General features: G+C 39.6%; 2 protein-coding genes across 40 annotated transcripts in view, besides 1 other annotated feature; both read left to right on the forward strand.

Annotated features, from left to right (window-relative positions):
* LOC124900173 (uncharacterized) overlaps positions 12,704-25,018 on the forward strand; it is a 74,900-nt gene continuing 62,585 nt past the window's right edge. Inside the window, exons 1-2 of the mRNA XM_047416555.1 lie at positions 12,704-12,791; positions 13,759-15,382. Of these exons, the coding sequence (XP_047272511.1) occupies positions 12,704-12,791; positions 13,759-14,933 (1,263 nt within the window). The 3' untranslated portion in view covers positions 14,934-15,382. The remainder of the gene's footprint in view (positions 12,792-13,758; positions 15,383-25,018) is intronic.
* Positions 13,943-25,018, forward strand: part of ADGRL3 (adhesion G protein-coupled receptor L3) — an 878,010-nt gene continuing 866,934 nt past the window's right edge. For 31 of the 39 annotated variants that reach the window (NM_001387552.1, NM_001322402.3, NM_001387522.1 and 28 more), the window contains exon 1: positions 13,943-15,382. The gene's annotated coding sequence lies outside the window, so the exon portion shown is untranslated. Of the gene's footprint in view, positions 15,383-15,788; positions 16,359-25,018 lie in introns of those variants that run through there. The other 8 variants (NM_001387539.1, NM_001387532.1, XM_047449940.1 and 5 more) reach the window with 2 other exon arrangements.
* Positions 16,089-16,661: an enhancer, noted in NCBI's record as "H3K4me1 hESC enhancer chr4:62068190-62068762 (GRCh37/hg19 assembly coordinates)". NCBI's record gives its function as "activates a minimal SCP1, AML or CMV promoter by ChIP-STARR-seq in naive H9 embryonic stem cells {active_cell/tissue: H9 hESC(naive)}" and the evidence as "EXISTENCE:reporter gene assay evidence [ECO:0000049][PMID:30033119]".

The raw sequence follows: 25,018 nt of genomic DNA on the forward strand, positions 1-25,018 counted from the left end.
AAAATGGTATAAAATCCCACTGGCCAATATCTGTCAGGGTAAATGCCTACATTTTCCCAGGAATGTACTCATCACTTCTGTATAGGTTTCCTTGACTGAAATAATTAGTATTAAGAACTCTTATTTTAATGTGGTGGCTACTGAATTAAAAAAAATTTAAGCTGTTTTATATAAAGTTATTATGTTATCTTTTAATATGTTACTTTAAAAAAAGCCTTGCTCCATTTCTGAATGCCAGATTACTACATAGAGTTGATCTTTTGCTCATGTGAAGGTATAGGAAAAACAATGTAGGTTTTGGAATTAGATAGATCCAGTTTTGAATTTAACCTCCTTTGCTGTAACCTATTGACTGACCTTAAGCAAGTCAGTCACTTGGCACTTGGCCTTTTTAAAAGTATAATATGAAGTAAATAACTTCTTTAGCTCTAAATAGTTGTTGACAATATGCTATGGTTTCATAATTTATCCCCTCTGAAACTCATGTTGAAACTTAATCCTCGATGTGGCAGTATTGAGAGGTGGGGCCTTTAAGAGGTGATTTGGTCATGAGGGCTCTGCCCTCATGAATGAATTAATCCATTCATGAATTAATAGAAATGAATTGATGGGTTACTGGATTAATAGAGTGGGACTGGTGGCTTTATAAGAAAAGAAAGAGAGCCCTGAGTTAGCAGCTTAGCATGCTGAGTCCCCTGGCCATGTGATGCCCTGCACCACTTCAAAACTATGAAGAGGATCCCCATCAGCAAGAAGGCTCTTACCAGATGTGGCCCCTCAACCCTGCATATCTCAGCTTCTATAAATATAAGAAATAAATTCCTTTTCTTTATAAGTTACTCAGTTCCAGCTATTCTATTATAAGCAACCAAAAATGGACTAATACAACTATTAAATGAGGTTCTATACACAATGTCCCCAGCAAGTTTCTAGGCATATATTTGATAAGTAATGGGTCTATCCTCTGCTCTGCTCTGACGGGATTGGCACTCCATATCTAAAGTAGGTAAATGAAACATATACATGCCATATAATAAAAAAGAAACCTTCAAAGGAAAGAATTTCCTAATATTTATACAATGAAAGCAACCTTAAGAAAATAATCCTATATTACCATTCTTAAATTGTTTTGGATTCAACAATTCCACCCTTAAATACCTTATTCAAGATGAAAGGCATAGTGCCAGGTAACATATGTATTAAAATAAATAGTGTAATGGAGCACAGATATTAGTAACTAAATATTGTGTTAGTCAAGTTCTGAGAAAAACATTATGAGATTGTTGAAAGGTGAACAAATGAGACCTTTCACACTTATTCTACTAAAAGTAAAGAAATAAATCTGAAGGTTGCTAATCAGCCGTACATTTAAATATTGTGCATATTATTAAATGTATGCAGCACGGTAGTGAGTTTTTGCCTTCCATGAATAACATTTCCTCTCAAAAAAAGGTTTCAGTGGTCACATTTTATCCTAAGAAATGCGTAAGACCCAGGATTCTTCAGTACAAAATAGCAATATTTGTATTCCTGCACGTTGAGCTTCAGTTTTCCCAAATCAAATTGAAAGTCTGATCTCTCCTTTTCTAATAAATACAAATCAAATTTAGTTATTCCCTTATCCTTGCTCTACCACCTGAGACCCACCAGTTTTCAGAGTTCTTTTTAAAAAGTTTTTCATTAAAACAAATCTGTGTAATATGGCAACCACGCTTGTTTAGTTCTATAAAATTATTTTAAGGTTTTTCCTGATGTATTTTGTTAACCAGAAAATATTTCAATATTATGGCTAACCTCAAGGTACCAGCAAAAATTTTTCTTCTAATCCTCTATGGAACTTTTTTAAAAGTTCAAAAAGCTGTGTCTCATAATATTTGTAATAATTTCCTGACCCAGCATAGGACTCACCAGAGAGCCAAAGTGGGCTACAGAAAAGTAATTCCTCTGGTTCACTTCTTATAAGCTTCCCATGGTTCCCAAGAATTGTGTAAGGTTGTGTAAGGCCAGAGTCCAGTTGATAGTTCAGAGATTGGTTGGCCTATAGCAGAAGTATTCTTCATGTTGACAAATGAAGTACTGAAATGTGAACAACAGCACATTCTATGTTAGGCCACACAAACCTATTTCACTACCACAATAAAAAATTCTCATGGCAAATCAAAATGATAATTTTAGCCATCCATATGTTCAAAAAATCTTTATTGAGCATTATGATATGCCAGGCCCTATTTTACTTGGTAGGGAAACATTAATAAAGAAAATAAAGAAGAGTCTTCATCCTTAAGGAGCTTACATTCTGATGGGAAAAGAGAGATACAAACCAGGACCAACTAATCCATTAGGCACAGTAGGCACAGAGCATAAGGCTTGTAATTCCCAAAGGGTCCTACAAAAAATATTTTCATTTCACTGTCTTTTAAAATCAAAATAAAAATTATAAATATTACAATAATACATCCATGCTAGATTATATTTGTCTTTATATCAATGTAGATGTAAAATGTAATTTAAAATATTTTTTCATGGCTGAAGAGGCCCAGGAAAGTCATATTGTGGACACGTGAAAAGCACAATGAATGAGTATGGGTATATTAGAAGGTGAGAAGCTCTGTGGAGGAAGAAAAGGAAGTGTGATAAACTGTCGGGTAAGGTTGTTTGTAATTTTACATAGAGTGTTAGAGAAAGCATCACTGGGAAGCAACATTTGTGCAAAGAGTGGAAGGAGGTTAGGTAAACAGCCATGCAGATCTCTGGGTGAAGAATATTCTAGAAGCAGATGCAAAGCCCCAAGATAGAAGGAGCAACAAGAAGGCCATTAGGCTGCAGCAAAGTGATCTCTGGGGAGAGGAGCTAAAGGCGAGGCCATATGCCTCAGGGATCAGATGTGTAGGGCTTTGTAGGCCACTTCAGTTTTATTCTCAGTGAGATAGGAAGCAACTGGAGGTTTTGGGGCAAGCACCCTGTTATGGGTTGAATTGTGGACCCCCAAAAGTTATGTTGGGCTGGGTGCGGTGGCTAATGCCTGTAATCCCAGCACTTTGGGAGGCTGAGGTGGGCGGATCACCTGAGGTCAGGAGTTCAAGATCAGCCTGGCCAACATGGTGAAACCCTGTCTTTACAAAAATACAAAAATTAGCCAGGCATGATGGCAGATGCCTGTAATCCCAGCTACTCAGGAGGCTGAGGCGAAAGAATCCCTTGAACTCAGGAGACGGAGGTTGCAGTGAGCCGAGATTGCGCCATTGCAGTCCGCAGTCCGGCCTGGGCAACAGAGCGAGACTCCGTCTCAAAAAAAAAAAAAAACTTTATGTTGATGCCCTAACTCCTGACACTGGTGAATGTGACTTATTTAGAAATGGGGTCTTTACAGACGTAATCAGATTAAAATGAGGCCACTAGGGTGGGCCCTAATCCCAAATGACTGGTATCCTTACAGGAAAAGGAAAACACTATGTGGAAGCAAGACACACAGGGAAAACATCCTGTGATGACAAAGGCAGAGATTCGAGTGCTGCAGCTGCAAGCAAAGGCACACCAGGGATTGAAGGCCATCACCAGAAGCTGGGAAGAGACAAGGAGGGATTGGAACATGGCCCTGCTGTCACCTTGATTTTGAACATCTAACCTCCAGAACTGTGAGACAAGTTTATATTGTTTTAAGTGATGCAGTTTGTAGTACTGTGTTATGGAAGCCCCAGGAAACTAACACTGTGACTTTGTTCTAATAGTATCTCTCTGGCTGAATGTTGAGAATAAACTAGAGCTAGGTCAAGGGTAGGAATAGAAGGCTAACTTTGATCAAGTGTCCTCGGAGGCAGATTCATAGGAAATTGCAAATAGGAGGTTTTTCCAGGAATGCTCTTGGGAGCAAGATGGGGTGGGGGTGGTGTTGCATGGTGCGAGGAATTAGGAACTTAGCATTGGCAAGAGAGAGAAGTGGGGCTGCAAAGAAGAGGCAAAGAGCCCTCAGGCACTCCAACGGAGAAAGAGCTGGAGTGGTGAATATGGAATAGCCTTTCCCAGTCATCATCTACATGTGAGGAGTGGGCCGCCTCTAAGTAATGCTGTGTAGTATAGGTATTGAATGTGGGCTAACCCATTTGAGCAGATGTAACCTTGAGCAAGACAGCTTCGTTCAGCAAACAGAAGGAAATACTTGAGGAACTCATCTGTGAGCAGCTACATTCCTCAAGCTGCAGAAATGAATACTTTCATCCTGGGGAGGAGGAATATGTGAGCTGTTCACAGCATCCTTGAAACAGGACATTGCACCTACAGAGGAGAGATTCAAACAGCACAAGAAAACACGGATATTAGAGTGCATGGAATTCTGTGTGCATGAATAGTGTAGTTGTGTGTTTACATGTCCTAGCAAGGATCTTCCATTTGTACAGCACTCAAGATGTTTAACATACTGTACTTAATATGGTGGCGACAATAACCCTGTGATGTAGGTAAAGACAGGTATTTTAATATGCCCATTTTACTTATAAGGAATATAAAGCCCAGAAATGTTGAGTGATTTGACCAATAACACAGAATTAGTTTGTGTTAGGAATGGGACTGAAAACATGGTCTTCTGAATCCATGTCTTGAGCTCTTCATACCAGGCCATTTGATTCAAGTATTACTTTGGTTATGTGGCAGTGCTCAGGCTACACACTTCTGCATATTCTTCTACGCTTCATTATTTCTGAATCATCAAGGCAGTGTATAGGAAGAACTGGATTTCTATTTTTCAAACTCACATCCATTTCATTCTAGACCTAAACCTAGACTACATTTGCCAACCCCTCTTACATTTAGGTGTAGCCATATGACTGAGCGTTTATGAATGGAATCTGAATGGAGGTGATAAAGATCATCCAGACCCATAAAAAAATGCTAAGAAAATCGTCCCTTCCTCTTTTCCCACGGGCTGCCTAGTGCAGCCTTGAAAGCCATGTGTTAAGATGAAGGAATCTTCATCAGCCTGGACCTCTGAATGTCTAAAAAGAACAAAGATACTCACATACTACCACTCCCCTCCAGTTTGAAGTTCTGATCCAGGATTCTCTCAATCATTAGAAAAATCAGAAACACAATATGCATATCCTTATGTGGGATATTACAGTATAGATTTGGAATTTTATTTCATGGCACTTTGCATAAGTATAACTAATATATCTTATTTAAGTCTAATATTGAATAGCTTAACCTAAGAATATAGAAAGCTGTTGGCAAGTGCATGTTCAATCTTTTGACCATTTAGTGAGATAAACTGAGAGAATATTATTATGTTATTTTCCTAATTGTTAAATCTCTGAGAGGCAACATGAAACAATATAAACAAATACATAAATAAGCACATAAATGAATGAATGAATAAATAAATGCTTCTGGTTTGCATCATTCTAACTAAAAAGATGCTAGAGAAGGAGGGAATATTTATCTATTCCAGTGCTCATAATAATTAAAAAAAAAAAAGACCCAGGGAAGCCTGGTTTAAGTCTTGTGGCTATCCCTAAACAAATCACTGGGGTAAAGCTGGTTGCAATATTTTATGTGGCCTGGATAATTTGCCTTTCCTATGTGGGTTGGGTATCATGATGGACATACCATTACTAGTACATAAAATGAAGAGTAGAAGGATACCCAAGGAAGAGGCATGCTATTTCCAGAAGTGGAAAGAGATAAATGATCAGACAAAACCCATTAATAACTGCTATGAAGTTGTGCTGGCTTCATCAAAAGGTGAATGTACCATGACATTACAATGGCTGTTTTCTAGAAACTAAGTATAGGCACGTAGTTGGATCTTAGGAAAGAAATAAAATGAAGATTCAGAAAACCACCCCAAATCTCTCCCTGCATTTCATCTGGGCTCCTCTCTCTGCATGTGCTTCAAGCCGCTTTCTGCAGATTCCTATTATCTTTACCTCTGCTCAGTGGCTAAAAGCAGGTTCAACTGATGATATAATAGTTCATGTCTCCCATCAAGAGCAAATCACCTCTGATTCTTGAATTGCTATGGCAGAGAAAAGAGGGCCACACCACAGTTAGATAGTTTACATGGCCTGTTGAGAGAAAGAAACAATGATTCTCTTAGCTCCAATTCCAACTTCCCTAAGAAGAACTGATTAGCTTGCTAATCAAGGAAGTTACCCCTTTCCCTCCCTGATCCAATAAACTGTAGCCAGTGGGGAAGTTTCTCATTACAAAAACTTGCCCTTGGAATCTCCACCATGTAAGCAGAGAGTCAGTAAAGTAAATATGTTTATATGGTATATACTTTACTGGATTTTTTAGCCTTAGTCATTATATCCTCCGTATTTTAACATCATTGTTAATAAAGTAGAAATAATGCCCACGTTGCTTGTTTTGGGGGAGGATTAATTACAATGAAAAAAAAAAGCCCTAGCACATAGAAAGTTATGCTCCTTGCATTAAAGAAGGTTATGGTCTAAAATCAAACCATAAGAAAAAAATTGTCATTCTTATTTATTTTGAGTAAAAACATTGTCTTCTGACTCTATAACATAATTAGATGATTGCCAAGCTCTATTCCAGTTATTTAATGCCAATGATTTTCCCCCCGTTGATTCCAAACCATTAAACAAATAAAACAAAACAAAAAATCAAATGCACTTTAAAATCAGGAGATTTGTTCATATCTTAAGGCTATTCCAAATCATGCCACAGTAGAAAGAGATTTCAAAAGGATTCAACTTGATTTGAGTAACGGCAGCCTCTCCTGGACAAGGTGACTAATTTGAATTTGATAACTCTCATTTAGATGAATAAATTCTATTAATCTATAATCTTAAGAGAATGATAGATATATTAATATTAATCAGACATAGTTTAATAGATACTGATGTATTTATACATCTTATGTATTTAATATTATATATTATACAGCACTTATCTTGAATTATTTCATTCACCAGACATTTATTGAATACCTGCTATGGGTCTGAGCAATGTATGAGGGACTTAAAATTCATGGAAATGTAATTAAAATATAAAAGTAAAAAATATAAACTTTATTTCTCAACATAAGCTCTATCAAGTTCAAGGCACTTTAGTAAACAATGATCCCAGCCATTTAGTACATTCCTAAAGAACTGAGGGTCCTGGGAAGTTTACCACTTCCACCTCTTGGTAACCATTGCTTTGATTGTGCTTTGTCCTTAGGATCATGCTGGTAAAGCCATGTTCCATCTATTATTAAAATTCTTCAAAGAAATTCTTCAGGATCTTAATCTCACTTATTTAAAATCTCCATTGAAAGCTCTGCTCTTGTCTGCAGCTGATCTGGGCTCAATGATTTTGTCACCCATTGAGTGGAAGGTTTGCTCAACTTTAATTTTTCACTCAGAATTGTGTAAGCTGAACTAATTGGGATGTCTATGGTCTTGCCTATTGTCTCTGTTGTTAATTATTGGTCCTGTTTAGTTAGGTCACAAACAAGATGAATTCTTTTCCTTGAAAATTGATGTAGATGGTCTGCGTCTGTGGGCTTCATCTTCAGCGTTGTCTCATCCCTTCTTAAAACTAGTTATCCATTTGTAAATGACTGGTTTCTTTGGAGCATTCTTGTCATAAACTTTTTAAAGCTTCAGTGAGCTCACCATTCTTCTACCTAAGCGTCATGATAAATTTGATGACTGGTTTTGCTTTAATTGTAGCAGAATGCATGTTTCTCTGCTAGGGGCTCTTTTCAAACTTTTGTTTTACCTTTCTCAGAGCCTTAAATGAGATCATCATCAGTCATGTTATAACAAGTTAGTATGAGTTTATTTTGGTGCAGTAAAGTTTTGAAATCCATGCATAGTTTTTATTAATAATATGTACTTTCTGTGAACATTTTGAAGACCCCTCATATTTCCGAGTGGAGAATAACCATTATTTTCTGATCAATCTTATTTTTGTTATTTATAGGAAAAGAGGTGAGCCATATAATAGAATAAGATGTCAGATATGAGAAAATCATCTAACTGAGAGTACTGCAGAAATAATGTGACCAACATTCTCAGAAGAGTAATGCTGTATGCCTTCCATGAGCTCAGATTTTAAGGAAATCCAGTAGGTAATCTGAAGGAGAAGCTAACTTCCTAGCTATCACCATAACACAGACTGCATGTTAGCATTATAACTGCATATCCATACAGAATTTTCCCTATGCTTATCTGATTTGGGATTTAAAATATGCATTCAAAAGAAACAGGAATTTATGATAAAGTCTAGCAATATTTATTTTAATCTGATTGCATTCTTCAGGAAAATATTGCACTAAGTCAGGTTTAGATACCACCATGTGGCAGATAATGTAGCTGTGAAAAGTGTCATATTCCATTTGGGTTGTTAAAATGAAGTACCATAGCCTAGGTGGCTTATAAACACAGAAAATTATGTCTCACAGTTCTTGAGAAATAGATCAGGGTGCCAGCATGATCAGATTCTAGTGACGGCCCTCTTTTGGACTGCAGAGTGCCAGCTTTTCATGTCTATTCATGGCAGAAAGAGAGTAAGTGAGCTCTCTGAAGTCCCTTTTATAAGGATACCAATCTCATTCATGAGGGCTCCATCTTCATGACCTAACTACCTTCCAAAGGCCTCTCCTCCCAATATCATTATGTTGGGAGTTAGGATTTCAATATATGGGTTTTGTGGGGCCACAAACATCCAGTCCATTGTAGATAGCTCCTTAGCTTTCCTTACCATCAAGAATATATTGAGACCTTTGGTATAGTACAGTCTGAAAAATTCTTGACAATAATTCTGATTAGCCAAGCCTGCATTAGTTGCCTGTACCTGGACCCTTCAACCATGGCCAAGAGTCAGGGCCAAATAGTATGAACAAGGCCACTTCATAGACACATCTGCCCAATCATGTGTGGAAGCTGTTCTCAGAGAAGGAGGGGTAATTATGAGTCAGGCATCTACTATCTGTGTCTATTATAGTCTTAAAGGAGTGAGGCTGAAAAGCAGAGCCCAGAAAAGTGGCAGTGTTTTATAAAGGATCAAAAATTCCATTTTCTTCCTTTCTAGACTATGACAGTTATTACTGACTATCTCTGGTTGACCACGATGTTTTCATTAGTACAGTACAAACATATTTGTATACTTTATCTTATAAAGATGAGAGGATCTTAAGAAAATAGTGTTGGGCTCTTGAATACTTTTATATTTCTGGAGACTAGAATCTAGGCACCGTGATGTCACACTTTTAACGCAACTCTTTGAGTGCTGAATACTTCCACTAGAGCAGGGTACTATCACTAACATTTATAGTGAGTAGCTATAACCATTCTGTGTTGAAACTAATGAGGAGTTATGAAAGGTAATCTAACTGTGGGATCTAAGACAAGGTAGCTAGAAAAGTTACAGGAAAAAAACCAAGTTACAAGAAAAAAAAGACTTGTTGCTTTCACAGTCTTTCAGAACTGGCATGCTGTATGCAAACATTTGAGAAATTATAATAAAGAGTTTTAAGGAGACACTTCCATTGGAAGAAAAGAAGTCAATATGTGGAAAATGTTTACTACTTAGGAGAAGCTGTTTAAAAATATTTAGATTTACATCTATATTGATATCTGTATCTATAGCTAAGCTTCCAAGTCATTAAGAATGTAGAATTCACGGGTCTTTTTTGGATTGAAAAAGAAGAAGGGTGAATAACTTGAAGCAAGGAGGGAATATAAGATACCAAATTAGCAGGGCAATATAATCTGGGTAAGATTTTATAGACTTAAAATGGTCCTTTGAGAAATATCCCAGGGTACAGAAAGGGTCACTGAGTGCTTCTTGGGATTGGGCTATCCCATAGGGTAGTCTAATATGTTCTGATAGCCCTATGTAATCCATATTTGCATCATTATTCTACTGAATACCAAATGCCTTAAAATTCTAATCATGCCATGGCATCCTAGGAGTCTGAGTGCTATGCTTTGCTGTCTGCGTTGCAGATGTGATTTAACTCTGATTACCTTGATTTGTCAGTGAATTTAGGCCCAGTAGCATTTAAGATAGTAACTGTCTGCGGATATCTGACTGAGTATTAGAGAGTATTGTCCCTGATGGCAATAGCTCAGTAATTTGAAATCCTGTGAAAGCTTACATCTGGTTGAAGTAGAAGGTCATTTCATGTGAGAGTAGCACTGTCACGTGTCTGCATTATCCACACATTTGGTTACTGAAAGACTAATATATGCAAGCCCAGCCCAGGGTGGTATGCAATGGTAAGCCAAAGGATGAGGAGGAGCTAAATCATGAAAGAATCCTGATATTCACTTGGACACATGACTGCCTAGAGTAGTCTACATTTTCCATGTAAAGGATGGAATGAAAGGGGAAATGGTGTATGCAACTTTAGGAAATTTTCCCTGGATACAAGAATGCTCTTCTCTTCCTCCTTCTTCCCTTTCGTCCTTGCTCTTGCAAGGTAGGTGTGATTGCTGGAACTGAAATTAGCAACAGTGGCCACAGATGGCTGAGCAAGAAGACAAAGTGTCTATTTCAGTTTGGAATGCTTTTGAGGGCCATACCTGCACTAGACCACCTACCTCTAGATTTTCATTTGAAAAAGAAACAAATTTGTCTTGTTTAGGTCACTGCTACTTTTTGTTTCTGTTGCTTGAAGCCAAATTGAATCTTAACTAATATAGTATGTATGCATCATTTAAAAAATTATTTTTGCTTATCAACTTTTTCCCACTAACTATTGATTTCATTCCGATAAGGGGGCTTTTATTGAGTATGAAAAAAGCAAGATTACTTTGAATATGTAAACATTACATACCCTCTCCCCTTTTATAGCAATTATGGCTGAGATGTATATCATTATACAAAATCCTTGTCCATATCTCTGCTTTTTTCTGTAGATGAGATATCTATACATAGAAACACTGGATTTAGTGGCATATATATTCTATAAAGCAGTTGTTTCATATTGTCAGCTTCCTTTCTAGAGCAATTGTGTCACTATATATTACTAGCATGGAGGCATGCCTGTCTCAACACACTTTCGTTAGAGTTTAGTAATAGAGCACTGTTGCTATTTCAGTTAATTTTATGGTAAAAACATGAAACATGATAGATCTCCTAAATGGATCTATTTTTATGTATTAGATTTCTATAGGCAGAACATATTTCCTTGCATTTATTGGCCATTTGTATTTATTCTGTGAACAGATGGTTTTAAGGTCTTTTCTAAACTTCCATTCTGTGGGGATCTTAGTATATTTCTTATTGATTTGAAAGGGTCTTTGGTCTAAAAATTTTAATTAGTCATTTAAATGTTTTAATTCTCTTTATCTTATTTGATTAGATAATCACTTTTTTTTTTCATTTTTAGAGCCCTTTTCCCTTTGGTAAAAATTATTTTTTTTCAATTTTAACGGTGCTGAAGCCTACAGTGCCATCTTTCTAAAAAACCACTCTAGTTTGCACAGAGTTACATCATATGATAGTATCTGTGCTCAAACATCATCTGTATGATGTCTTCTCCTTGAGAAGAAGGTGTTAAATATATGTAACATAGGTGTTAAATACAGTAGCTAAGAGGACACAGAATTTATTTTATTTTTATGGAAGCTTCACCTTAGAAGAACATTGGCAAGAGTCATGGATTTCCTGGCAATGAAGTGGGATGTTTTATGTCTTAAATCAGATATAGAAGACTATGTCCATGAGATTAAAAATGACTTGGAAGCATGAAGTTTGAGATTAAAATATAAGCAGCTGCCTTAAATAATGCTGCCTTGACATTTGATTAAGTTATACAAACCATTAACCTATTCTCTTTCTTTCATTGCTTTTCTTTACTCATTGGTTATTTTTATTCACACACCCCGATTTTTGGTTCTTTCTCCCTCGTTATTGTCTTTGTAATTTTGCTTATTTGTGGTCAACTCCTCCGTGGTGAACACTTCCAATTACTTATTTAACTGACTATGCTTAGTTTTCAGTTAATATTTCATTTATATAGATACACATATATGTATATCTATGTGTGTACATATGTGTGTGTATAAATATACATGTAAAACTTTTACTTTGAAATTTCATTTTCCTGCATCCCTCCAGACCTCTGTTGTGTTAAAGATGATTCTAAAAACTGATCTATAGCTACTATTTATTTAATATTCTCATGCTACCACTAATAATCTTTAATATCTATATATTGTCATTATATATTTTTATCGATCTAAATAAATATTAAATATGTATTTAATGTTTCTGATGCTACCACTAATAATCTTTAATATCTATACTTGTCATCATATATATTATTACAATGTTATTTTTATTACTTGGTTGTTTTATTATACTTAATACAACCATTAAGCATTTGAGAAATGAATTGAGTAACTTCCATTTTTCCTCCTTTACAAATAAGAGCCTCTTGTCACAATTGGCTAGAGTTTACTCTTTCCAAAACTATTTAAGTAACAAGTGACTCCAGATGTCAATTTGTATTTTCTTTAAGTACCCAGGGGAGTTCATGGATGTCCTGTATTAAGCAAATTCAAGTAGCATAACTTCAGCTTGTGAACATCTAGTTGGTCAGAATTCAGCAATATCATTAAATCTCCCTTCCCACCCCCAATTTTTTTAAAGGACTAACTATGCGCAAAGGACTGTAGATATAATCTTTCCTTATACAGATGATTAAAACTAGCCATTTGCATTCAAGAAAAACTGTAATCTGAAGAAGCAAATGGACAAACCATTAATGATTAAAAAGGAACAAGGAAAAAGGCAGAATAAAATAGGTGTTAGAGGAGATGTCATCAAAATGTTACAGGGTATCATGAAAGGAGTGATTTTTGGGGAAGGAGTCTTGGTGAGAAGAGGCTTCTTGGAGAACGTTGGATTGGAGTTGAGCTTTAAAGAATGAATGACATTTTAACTGTCACTTTGTGTTGGGTATGTTTTTAATTCTAATGAGGTTTCAGGTTCTTCAGATATGCTAGGATTGATGTTACCTCTTAAAGAGCTCCTAGAAGTCGTTAGGTCATTCTAAATGTATACATTGAAATACAATTTGGGAAATTTAGCTAGGGATGTAATGTGCTTGTTGAATGAATATGATAAATCTTAATGATTTGAGTGTACTGGTATAGAAAATAACATCTTAGCCATTTGAAATCACGACATTTTAGAGCAGGAAAAGACCTTACAAATTATGTAATCAACAGTCTCCTTTACAAAGAAGGCACCAAAAGGTTCAGCAATTGACCAAGGCCACTCATTTAACTTGACCAGACTTTTCCTCTGTCAGAAGGCATGGTTTTGGAATCCGCACCTTTCTGTATCCATTATGGTAATTTCCATTGATGATGTGAAATAAGATAATTGAATCTCCACGATTGTTCATCAGACAGGGATACTTTAAACCGTGCAATGAACTTGCAGGTCGAGTTAAGTTTGAAGGAACATAAAATTGACCAAAGGCAGGAAACATTTTCAGACTCGGTACTTGCATAATGAAAATACGGAATAATCCGCACCTGAAAAAATGAGACACTGGCAGGACTTTCAAGCTGATGTCGTTTACTCACCTAGGGTGGAGTGGGAGAGGAAGACAAGAGGAGAAAGGGGGGAGGGAGGTGATGGAGAGTGGGAGGGGGAGAGAGGGAGGGAGGGACAGAGGAGGAAGTGGAAGAGAGAGAGAGAGAAAGAATGAGAGAGAGAGAGAGAGAGGGAGAGCGAGCGCCGAGGCGGGCCTCGAAGCCACTGGAGAGGTACCCTTTGTCTGACAAACCCTGAAAGGGAAGCCTCTAGTAGCAGCCCTCCCGTTCCCACCTCCAAGCGTTTGCCGAACTGCTAGGTGGAGCCCGCGCCGCGGAGCCCACGAGCACTCCATATCCGGGTTTTGCCGGCCACCCCTTTCCCTGGCGCGAGCCCCCTCCCCGGCTCTCGGAGCTCTTGCCGCTGGCCCGCCCGACCGCTGCTCATTCTGGCCTCCGCTCCGGCCCCGGCTGCGCCTACCCCGCGCGCAGGCTGCACGGTCCCCGCGCGCCCGCGCTCTGACCCGCTGTCTGCGCGTCGCCCCCCTCGCCTGCTGGCCCGGCACCGCTCGCTCCAGTTCCCAGGAGCGGGGATGCAGATGCTGCAGCTGGTCGGGGTGGGCGCCGCCGCCGCCGCCGCCGCCGCTGCTGCTGGTTTTTCTCGGACTGCTCGTTGCCTCCGCTCCGGCAGCTGCTGCCGCCGCCACCGCCGCCTGTGACTCGCCCCCTCCCCTTTCTTTCTTCTCTTTTTGCCTTGGTCCTCTTCCTACGGGTGTGCGCGCGCGCGGGTTGCACGGTTTGCTTTGGCAGGAGCTCGCTCGTGTGTGCGCGTGTGTGAGTGTGCGTGTCTGGAGAGCGCCAGTGCCTCGCTCGCTCTTGGGGAGTCGAAGAAGAGAAAGAACCGAAGAGACAGCGGCGGCGGCGCAGAGCCCGGGGCCGCGCGATGAAGCTCCCACATGCCCGCAGCTGCCCGGCCCGGCCGGCGAGCTAATCATCCACCCCACGGGCTCGGGGTTCGCCGGCCCCCGGGACGCAGCCCTCGGCGGCCGGGCGCCCGCTCTGTCTGCGCGCCCCCTCCGTGCACCGGGGAAGGAGTTTGTGTGGCTCTCGCTCCGGCTGTCCGCGGAGGTTGCGGGCTTGAGAGGGGACCCTCGGCTGGGAGAGAGCCTCGGGAGGACGAAGAGGAGGACGGTTTGGCGGAGAAGCCACCCCTGGCCCTCGCGGCTCCCCCTACCTATTCCATCGCTCCCGCTCCGAGGCGGAAAGGGGAGGACGTGGAAGAAGAAAAAGAAAGAGAAGGGGGGTGGGGTGGGAGAACTGGATATAAAGATCGGCTGGGGGGATGGTGGAAGATTTTTGGTCTCTTCGGCAGCGTCTTTTCTTAAGCGGCGGCGGCAGCAGCAGCAGCAAGAGAAGGAGAAGCAGCCCCAGCTATGACTGCCGCATGTTAATAGCTGCCGCTGGGTCCCTCGGCTGCTGCTGGAGACAGAGCCTGACTCCGAAGTTGTGCAACTGTGGACTGGGAGAGACATTTGAACCCTCTTTTCTTTTCGCTCCCCTTTTGCCCCCTTGGGGTGTGTGAAGCGAGGAACGTAAAGGAAGGCGAACATTTGGCTCTCTTTTTCCTTCCCCTTTCTCCGTGGCTGTGTAGCGGAAGAAAGGGAAGAGAGACTTTTTGTTGTTGTTTCCTTGACTGGGGTCTCCACCCTCCTGCTGCTTTCTCTGCGCTTCGATTCTCGTTATTTGCCGCGTGTGGTTGGGGGTGTCTGCACAGGGGCCGGCCGGTCTTTTGCCCCGGGCTCAATGGCTGGATTGTGGAAACTGCACCCGCCTTCAGGTTGTTGAGCAACTGATGGGACGATCTCAGGGACCGGCGTTTACGAAAGGTAATTTATTCTTCGCACTCTTCATAATAGGGGTCGCCCTGGCCGGGCGCAGGCGGCGGCATCCACCGGGCGGGCAACAAGAGGGGGTGCGGGGTGCATGCACACTCGCCCTTCCACTCACACACTCGCCCTCACACACACACACACTCATCCGGTCGTGGTGCGGGGCGGGAAGGGAACCTCCTGGCTGGTGGGCGCTCGGGTCTGGCGCGGGTTGGAGTTTTTTCCAGCCATTGGGCGATTTGACCGGCCGAGGGGAGTGAGGGGGATAAGAGACTGGGCGCATTCGCAGCTGCACACGCTGGGGAATAGGAACAGTTCCCACCCCGTTAATTTTCCCTCTCCTCTCACCCCAGTGGCATCCCCTGGTGGGGGCAGAAAGCGGACAGGAGGGCGACTTTTCTCCGTCAGGCTGGAACTGGTGCCGCTGGAGGCGGGAGCGGGCTGGAGGACGGACAGGGTCTGGGTGAGAAGCTGGGCTCTGGGAAGATGGAAAATGCAGGGTGCCGAGCCCGGCGCGATTCTCCCTCAACGCTTGCCTGGAGCATCCCTGGCCCCTTTTGCCCAGGTCGCGCCCCTGAGTCTTGGAGTCGCGCTGCCTCCCCGCGCCCTGCCTGTTGTGTCTCCTTCACGGCAGTTTGGTTTAGACCTGCGTGCCCAGGCTTTGTTAGGCGGTTTTGGCTGGAGAAAGCTGCCACTTTCGTGGGTGGCCCGGGCTGCGCTGTGCTGGTAGTGGGCACTGGGCGGGGGGCGGCGGTGTTGCACGAATCCGGGCGGCCGCGGCGCCGGGGCGGGGTGGGCAGAGCATTGGTGGTCGCGGTTGGCGGGTTACAGGTAGGAGAGAAGGCACCTCGGCGCTTCTCTGAGGAGAAGGGAAGGCTCCAGGCTGCAGCGCAGCGTCTGAGCTGCCGCGACCCAGCCTCCGGTCCCACGTCGGAGCTCAGAAGCTTAGGGTGCCAGGCCCCCAGCACTATAGGTGGGTGTGTGTGTGTCTGTGCGTGTGTGTGTGGTGTGTAGGGGTGGGGGCGACCTCCTCTACCAGCCTTACTTGGCGGCGGAGTCAGCGTTTGAGTGTGTGCGCATTTTTGCGCCCCAGGGACGGCAGAGAGATATTTGCGGGGATGCCGGAGCTGATGCTGCTGGAGCTGAGCTTGCTTATTGAAATCGCCTGGGATCCTCTTAACTGGAAAATCTGGTTTGAGGAGGCCACGGGGGCCCCCGCAGGGTGGCGAGGAAACCTTGCCGTGTCCCCTTCCCCTGGAGAGGCGCAGCTCGGCGACATGCGTGCGGCGCGTGAGAGTCGCTGGTGCAGCGCTCGATGCACCCCAGAATGGCCCTGATGAGAACCTCATAGGGTAGTCATCTCTCCAGCAGGTTGAAGTAATCGAGTCCAGCCAGCGTAACTCCTGGTCCCTGGAATTCTCTGGCCACTTTCCTACCTCTGATAGAAACATGCGCTGCTTTTATTTATGGCCAGAGATATCATAGCAGTTGGGAGAACTCGAGGCTTGCGAGCCACCTCCAGGGTGTCTCCTCCCTGTGTCTGCGTGTGATCCCTGCCTGCGGTAGTTAGAGCACATTGTAAACAACGGTGTAAGCACTCCTGCCACAGTCTCCTTTAGAGTCTAACCTGCTGTCGTCTGTTGTGTTTACTTTCCTGGTTGTATTACTCATTAGGAAGTATAAGGCTTCTTGCACCTCTGATTTTACATCCTTCCAGCCAGCTGCTGGGGAAATGAGGAGACGCATAGACTCTGGCAGGAAGGAAAAATTGCCTTCTGTGTTTTGCTCTGAAGTAAATAGGCAGTCTGCTAATTTTAGTGTCATATGGGCTTTCATCACTAGTTAAAGAATGTCATCGTAGAATCTGCAAAGAAACACTTCTTTAGCACTTTTTCATTTGGAGACTTTCCTATATTTCCCTATGAGAATAAACAGAGTTTGGTAAGATTTCTTTTGTATATTTTTCCATCTGTAATGATTCTAAATGATCTGGACTTCTGGCGCCCAATTTATCTGCATGTGGATTACAAATAGGATAGAATTCTCAGCTCTTTTATAATCACCAAAATAGGATACCAGATAATTTGTATAGGAGTTAAGAGGATATTTGTGTGTTGAATTATCTCTCAGCTTTGTTTCACCCAATCTTTTTTTTTTTGTAACCAAAGCAAGGGTAAAGACTGTACATAGATAAACACAGTTTATAAAGTGTTACTTTTGCAAGTGAAACTGCTTTTTACTTTCAATAATTAAAATGTATTAAATTCCTTAGGTCTAGATTAGCTCTGACTGCTTTGGTGTTTGTTGCAAATACTTGTGCTCTATTTTGTTTTAAAAAGTATAGGGCTGTTAATGGAACAGTGTACTTTATTTTTAGGTACAATAATTTCTGGATATCTTCATTATTTTTTAAAGACCTTGACCTCTTGAAAAAGCATAGATTGCAAAAGACACTGAATCACTGATGCCTGACTTTAAGTTATATTTTTATGAGAGATATTGCTAATGGCCATCACCCTAATAGAAAACTTAGAAAATTTTGATTTAATTCATGAGAATCTAGCTTCACGTATTTGTTTCATTTCTAGATGATACGTATTAAAGTCTTTATACTTGCAAATATTTCTGAGGATTAAAGAATACTTGTCCTCCCATTTTCCAAGATCTAATCACAATGATTCCCAGTCCTTACATTATAAGATTTGATCAGATCTGTTCTTTGTTTCCTAGCAGCATGTGTTCCCTAGCAGTCATACATTCCACAGGTCCTGATGTCATTAGAACTGTGTGTGTCAGTGTATTGTGCTGTCTTTAGCTGAAGGTGAATGTGTCAGAGTATTTGAATGCCATTCCATAGCTCTTCCTTATCACTAAGTATTCAGTAACCTGATCTATTTGTGTATATGGTTGACTAGACTATTTCTACAAAATCAGGGTAGGAGGAATGATTAACTCAAAGTTTTATATGAACTATTAATTTTTTTTTTTAGATAGAGATGTTAGGCTGCATCAGGCATCCCCGGCCTGAAGAGTGATAAGCCAGTATGTGATTTGCCTGATGGGTAAATGCTTTTGATGTCTCATTTTTGGTTGCTTGGTGTGATTATCCTTCAGACTGAGAGTGCTCCTCAAAAATATGAATGGAAAGTCTTTCAGAAATGATTTTCTTAATCATGATCTTCTTAACATTTTGCAGATTTAAATACTCTTTTCCACAGGGAATAATAGCAAGTATGGCACTTACTGGCTGCAGCTACTGTGGCTGGCATTGTTTCTACTAATTAGGAAAGGCAGATTTTTTTTATGGATTTGATTTACCATTGATTCCTTTGTGAGCTATAGCCAAGGAAATCATAAATAGTAGATTAAAAAGACTATAAAGTCATGAGGATTGAAGTTAGTCAAATAATATGATGCAAAACTGAATTGTTTTTCAGATTGGATTTGGACCACTTTAAGTGTTGGTTGAAACTCTCTTTGAAAAGGACTGCCAAGTAGAAGTGACAGTTACTGTTAGAAGTGGGGAGTTTTGGCCCAGAAATCAGCAAGGAAAACTGATTGCGATTTTCATATTTAGGATCAAACAGTGATTTTAAGAAATGCTGTGCAGCCTTAATTTAGCATGGTGTGAATGGCTAGAGTAGTTGGAATTTAAAAAGGATGATCTGTCCTTAAGTTTTGCAAATGGCTATTTTGCCTTCTCTTTCCTAGATTTGCATTATATTCAAAATATGCATTTGCTCACTTTGGGAGGAACCCTAAAGAATACAGCTGTATTGTAATTTATTATTTGTTTGCCCACAGGACATATTTACACTTAGATTATTATATTTATGTCTTCTTATTTCATGCGAATGCATTTCTTCATAGAATAACCAATTTTATAATTAAATAAAAAGTAAAACTTGCAAGTATGAGTAAGGTCCTCCTGACATTTTTCCTTGGTTATCTTTCTGTGTTTTGTCGGGTAGGGTAGGGTGAAGGCTAGGGAGTTGTTGATCAATGGAGAGAAAAATCCAGATTTTTCATTCATTGTAATACATTGTGAGAATGTAGCGTGAGCATGCTTGTAAATAGCATTTATGCATCTAAGGTGTGCAAGTTTTTCCCCAAATCTTGAATGTCATTACTCTGATCTGAGTGTCAGCATGGTCCAATAAAATTAATTCTACTGCTGCATAAGAAACCAAGTGTAACTTTTTTCTTAGAATTGTGACATGTGCTTATGGATTCATAAGCACAAAATGTAAAAGAGAAAATAGCTGTCCTACTTGAAATTAATTGAACTTCTTTATTTATTTTGAGGGGTGGATAAAAGGGGAGCGTTTCTATATTTGCTCATAATAGGTTCTATAGACCTTGATAAATCATGTCTTCCTTATGTCTTATTGACACTTAAAACAGGAACTTAGTTTCAATTTTAATGAATGTCTTCATAAAAGTGATTACAAATAGGTGTTAAAAGAAGTGAAAATTTGGTCCATATTATTCAAGAATTTAAATGGAATATTGTGGATGGTAATCCTACTTATTTTGAAAACTATTTTTGGGATGGAAAAATAAATCATCCAACTGAATGTTTCTGCCTGGCAAAACTTCCATGTCAGTTACTTTGTAAAGCAAACAATGCTGTTTTATCAGTGTTTTCAAAGTGTCCTCTGGGGAACCCTGGGGATCTCTGACACCCTTTCAGAGGAAATGTGAAAAGAAAACCTTTTTATAATAATGCTAAGACATTATTTGCCTTTCACTCATATTCTTTAACACGTGTTCAGTGGAGTTTTCCAGAAGGTATATGATATGTGATGGCATCATTGCTCTGATGGCATATGTCATATGTTCTTATGTATTCTCAAGTTTTAGAATTTTCCCAGTTTATCAATACTTGAATGGTGACAGTTACAGATATCATAATCAAAAGTCATTTTAGAGGCTGAGTGCAGTGGCTTACACCTCTAATCCTAGCACTTTGGGAGGCTGAGATGGGCAGATCACTTGAAGTAAGGAGTTTGAGACCAACCTGACCAACATGGTGAAACCCTGTCTCTACTAAAAATACAAAAATTAGCCGGGCATGGTGGTACATGCCTGTAGTCCCAGCTATTCGGGAGGCTTGAAGCAGGAGAATCGCTGGAACCCAGGAGGTAGAGGTTGCAGTGAGCCAAGATCGTGTCACTGCACTCCAGCCTGGTCCACAGACCAAGACTGTGTCTCAAAAAATAAATAAATAAATAAATAAATAAAATAAAATAAAAACATGAAGTCACTTTAGGTCATTTATTATTATTATTATTATTATACTTTTAAATTCTGGAATACATGTGCAGATGTGCAGGTTTGTTACACAGGTATACACGTGCCATGGTGGTTTGCTGCACCCATCAACCCATCATCTACATTAGGTATTTCTCCTAATGCTATCCCTCCCCTAGCCTCCACCCTGCAACAGGCCCAGGTGTATGATGTTCCCCTCCCTGTGTCCATGTGTTCTCATTGTTCAACTCCAACTTATGAGTGAGAACATGTAGTGTTTGGTTTTCTGTTCCTGTGTTAGTTTGCTGAGAATGATGGTTTTCAGCTTCATCCATGTCCCTGCAAAGGACATGAACTCATCCCTCTTTATGGCTGCATAGTATTCCATGGTGTATATGTGCCACATTTTCTTTATCCAGTCTATCATTGATTGGCATTTGGGTTGGTTCCAAGTCTTTGCCATTGTGAACAGTGCCACAGTAAACATACATGTGCATGTGTCTTTATAGTAGAATGATTTATAATCCTTTGGGTATATACCCAGTAATGAGATTGCTGGGTCAAATGGTACTGCTAGTTGTAGATCCTTGAGGAATCACGACACCATCTTCCACAATGGTTGAACTAATTTACACTCCTACCAACAGTGTAAAAGCATTCCTATTTCTCCATATCCTCTCCAGCACCTATTGTTTTCTGACTTTTTAATGATCACCATTCTAACTGTCATGAGATGGTCTCTCATTGTGGTTTTGATTTGCATTTCTCTAATGTAGGTCATTAATTTTTAAGAGTATAAAAGAGTCCTGGGCCAGAAAGTCTGAGAATGGCTCAGGTAGATTTTTCTGAGATCTGCCTCCTTGTGCTCTAAAATGCCATCCATCCAGCCACATAAAGAGCCATGTAGGATGAGAAAATGATTAGATGTCCAACCTGTAAAAAGATAGGCAGGTTGGATATAGTTATTAATTATTTGGCATTTTCATTATTCTATTTCCAAATAATCCAGTGTAGAAAACTTGTTTTTAGATTTTTTGTCCCCATTTAGTGAAATGGAAACTTTAAAGCAGCAGATATGCAGCCTGATCTGCTGACTGCTCTTGGGAAGGCTACAAAGGAGTCAAGGGGAAAATATCTGGATCTAGGCCCTAGATCAAGATATTTTGATATCTAGAAAGGCAGAGTGGTGTAGAGATGAACAGAAAGGGACTCTGGAGTGTGTTTGCCTAGGTTGAATAAGCTATTGGATTTGTGTCAAGATACCTGATCTCTCTATGCTTTAATTTCCTGGTATTTTTAATGGATTTAACAATTGTACCAAATTCACAGAAGATTATGAAGATTTAATTGGTAAATCTATGCAGAGTCCTTAAAACAGTTCCTGGTGCATAATAATAACATAATTGTTTGCTGCTATTATGATTACTATCATCATCATTATTATTGGGTCTCATGAGAGTCCTAGGAAACTTTAATCAATTCCCCATGTGATTCAGATACATAATTATATTTCACACCATTATAGAGTATGTCTTAAAATGTTAGTAAATTTTAAAATTTCATATAAAAGATAATCGACTTTATTTTACTCTCACACTTTAGAACTCATGAAGGGTTATTAGCATTTTTTAGAGGAAGAATTAATAAAACACCTTTGTTAGCTTGAGCTAAGTTTGAAGTTTGATAGTGAATGTGAATGCCCAATTAAAACTAGATTTCAAAGACCCCAATTGAATATTTATATATCTTGGGAATTATTAGAGAGGAAATCACTTTTCTGAAGTGATATCAAGATGACTCACTATACTCTTAATCTGTTAATCACTATCTAAGCACCACAACAAGCCATTTTCAGTGCAAAGGATCCTTGGGGTAATTATATACTGTAGTTCAGTCTGTTTGTGAGTGGTCGTATGTCTAGTGAAAGAAGCTATACATTCCGATTACCTTTACTAGATACTAAAGTTTAATTGGAGAACTGTGTAATACTTTTAAATGAGACTTTGGCAACTATTTAAGAACTTTAAGTTATAGATGTATTTATAAGTTATATACATTTTGGGGGTATATTCTATGGCTAATTTCTGACCCAGCCTATCACTATGAAATTAGTGCTATAGCACTTATTTCCTTCCAGAACTTTGGTCAATTCTGATTTAGTGTTGTAGAAATTAAATTATACTCCATAGATAGGCATAGCTGGGCAGTGTTTTTAATTATGAGCTTCTCAGAAATGGTCTTTGGACTGAGAGTCACTTGAATACAACCCCAAATGTGCAAGTTTCTGGCTCTGTCATCTCTATCTGCAAAATAGAGATAATAAAGTTTACATTGCTGGTTTGAGTAGAGTAATAGGAAGTAAATATAAAAGTACCTGGTGGAGTGAATACTTCATGCATAGTACCTTTTGTTATTAGTCATAGTATTATTAGAAATGTCCTTGAGTACCATTATTAAGAAAACGTAGCTAAATCAAATATCATTTTCTTAATTGAAGAGTTCTTGATGAGCTAGGAAAATCAATAGCATTTTCTTAAGTAGTTGAGAAAGGTTCAAGTCTTGTATTTATCTTTACTATGTTCTTTCCCTCTGTCCTTTTTTAACCTTTTAAGTACTTATTTCTGAGCTCTTCTTCATCTTAAAATGTTATGCTCTGCTACTAATTCCCCATCAAAAATTATAATCCTGACAGAAAAATATTTTTGACATCCACCAAATACTGTGTCCGAAGATTGACTTTAAATTAGGTATAAAATGAAAGCAACAATTTAAGATGTTTTAAATTAAATGCCCTATTATCTTTTCACATGTCAATCATTCTTTAAGCTTTAACTGCATCAGAATTTTCTATAATGCTGTAACCATATGAAGTCATCATAAACGTCGAAGATATCAGGATTTTCATATTTTTAAAAGATTTATAATCCCAGATTTTAAGTCTCATAAGAATGCCATAAATGAGATAAACCTATAAAATTCAGACCCCAAAATTGCTTTAAAGACTAAAACTTTTGAAAGGCTCATAAATGAGTTGAAATTTTAGAATTGACATATGTATTTCAGTTACAGTGCCAATAAGAGAAGTTATTAAAATGTGTGACTTTTACCATAATTATCCAGCATGTATACTGAAAAGGAAAGGATATGATATAGTAGGTGGTAAAAATGAATGAAAAAGTAAACTGCACATTGGACTGGACAACTGGCTTGCTAAATTGTACCAGAATTAGGTGTTTTAAAGTATGACTCAAGGAATTGAAAGCCAAGTAGAAACGACACTCCCTCCTGTTTGATCAGCTTGTGTTGGTGTTTACGCATCCCGCAGAGGCAGAGTGTGTTACTATTCAGGACAGCCCCAGTGGCTCCACAGTAGCCTGAGCCTGTGAGAATAGAGGAGAGACTCAAGCCCAGTTTTTGATGTTCTGCTTGGGTGGGTAACCTGAATACTAAAATGCATTCCATTGACGCTGACCCTGTAAGAGGGTTTTCAACAGTCTCCTGTTTTGTTTTGATTTGGTTTGTTTCCCCCTTCCCCATTTCCTTTTTCTCAAACTCTTCCAAAGACTTTTGAATAAAAGGAAATGGTTCTGACTGATGGTCATCTTTTTGTATGAGATTTTATTTCTGGCAAGAATGGAAGGGTTCAACTGTTTTTCATTAACACCTTTTGTTTTTTCAAATTTTCAGTGTTCTTGATTTGTCAATGGCTTATGGTTGTTGTTTGAACCTTGACTCAGAATACTGATCATGACTTCAAGGCGTGGACAAAGAACCTATTGAGAAATCATTTTCTGTTAACACAAGGCATGTGTGTATCTATAGCCTTTATTTATATTGGCTTTAAATGTTCGGTTGATGTTGTCTAAGGAGTTTTAATTATATTATTAACTGTAGTTGACTTTGGAGGAAGAGCTAGGCAGCCATTTAAAAAAATTATATACAATCATCTTTTGAGGTTTAGGCAATTTCAATTAGTTTTCACTTTGATTCCTAACAATTTTTATGTATGAAGTTTAAATATTATTTTACGGTCATTCTACAATGGTGCAATTTTATGATAGTATCTAAGTTATATGTACTTCAATTTAACTTAAAATATTTAATAGAATGGGTGTTTTCACTATTTCTCTTTTAATTGCAAAGACGCCTCCAGCTAGCTTTCTGCTGAGCTGATTAATTTATTGGGAAGTTATTGTGTTTCTCACCTAAAGATTCTTGGGAAAGAGTGAAGTTTTACTTAGGTATCAGGAAAAATTGGATACCTCTAGCCTTCTGCCTCAGTTCCATGCCCCTACCCAGCCTACCAGTTTTCTTTTTCTCTGACTGCTGGATTCATTCCCTTTCCCACAGTCTAAATTAAGTTCTCAGACTTATACTGAT

This window comes from Homo sapiens, chromosome 4 (genome assembly GCF_000001405.40).
Source record: "Homo sapiens chromosome 4, GRCh38.p14 Primary Assembly".
NCBI lineage: Eukaryota > Metazoa > Chordata > Mammalia > Primates > Hominidae > Homo > Homo sapiens.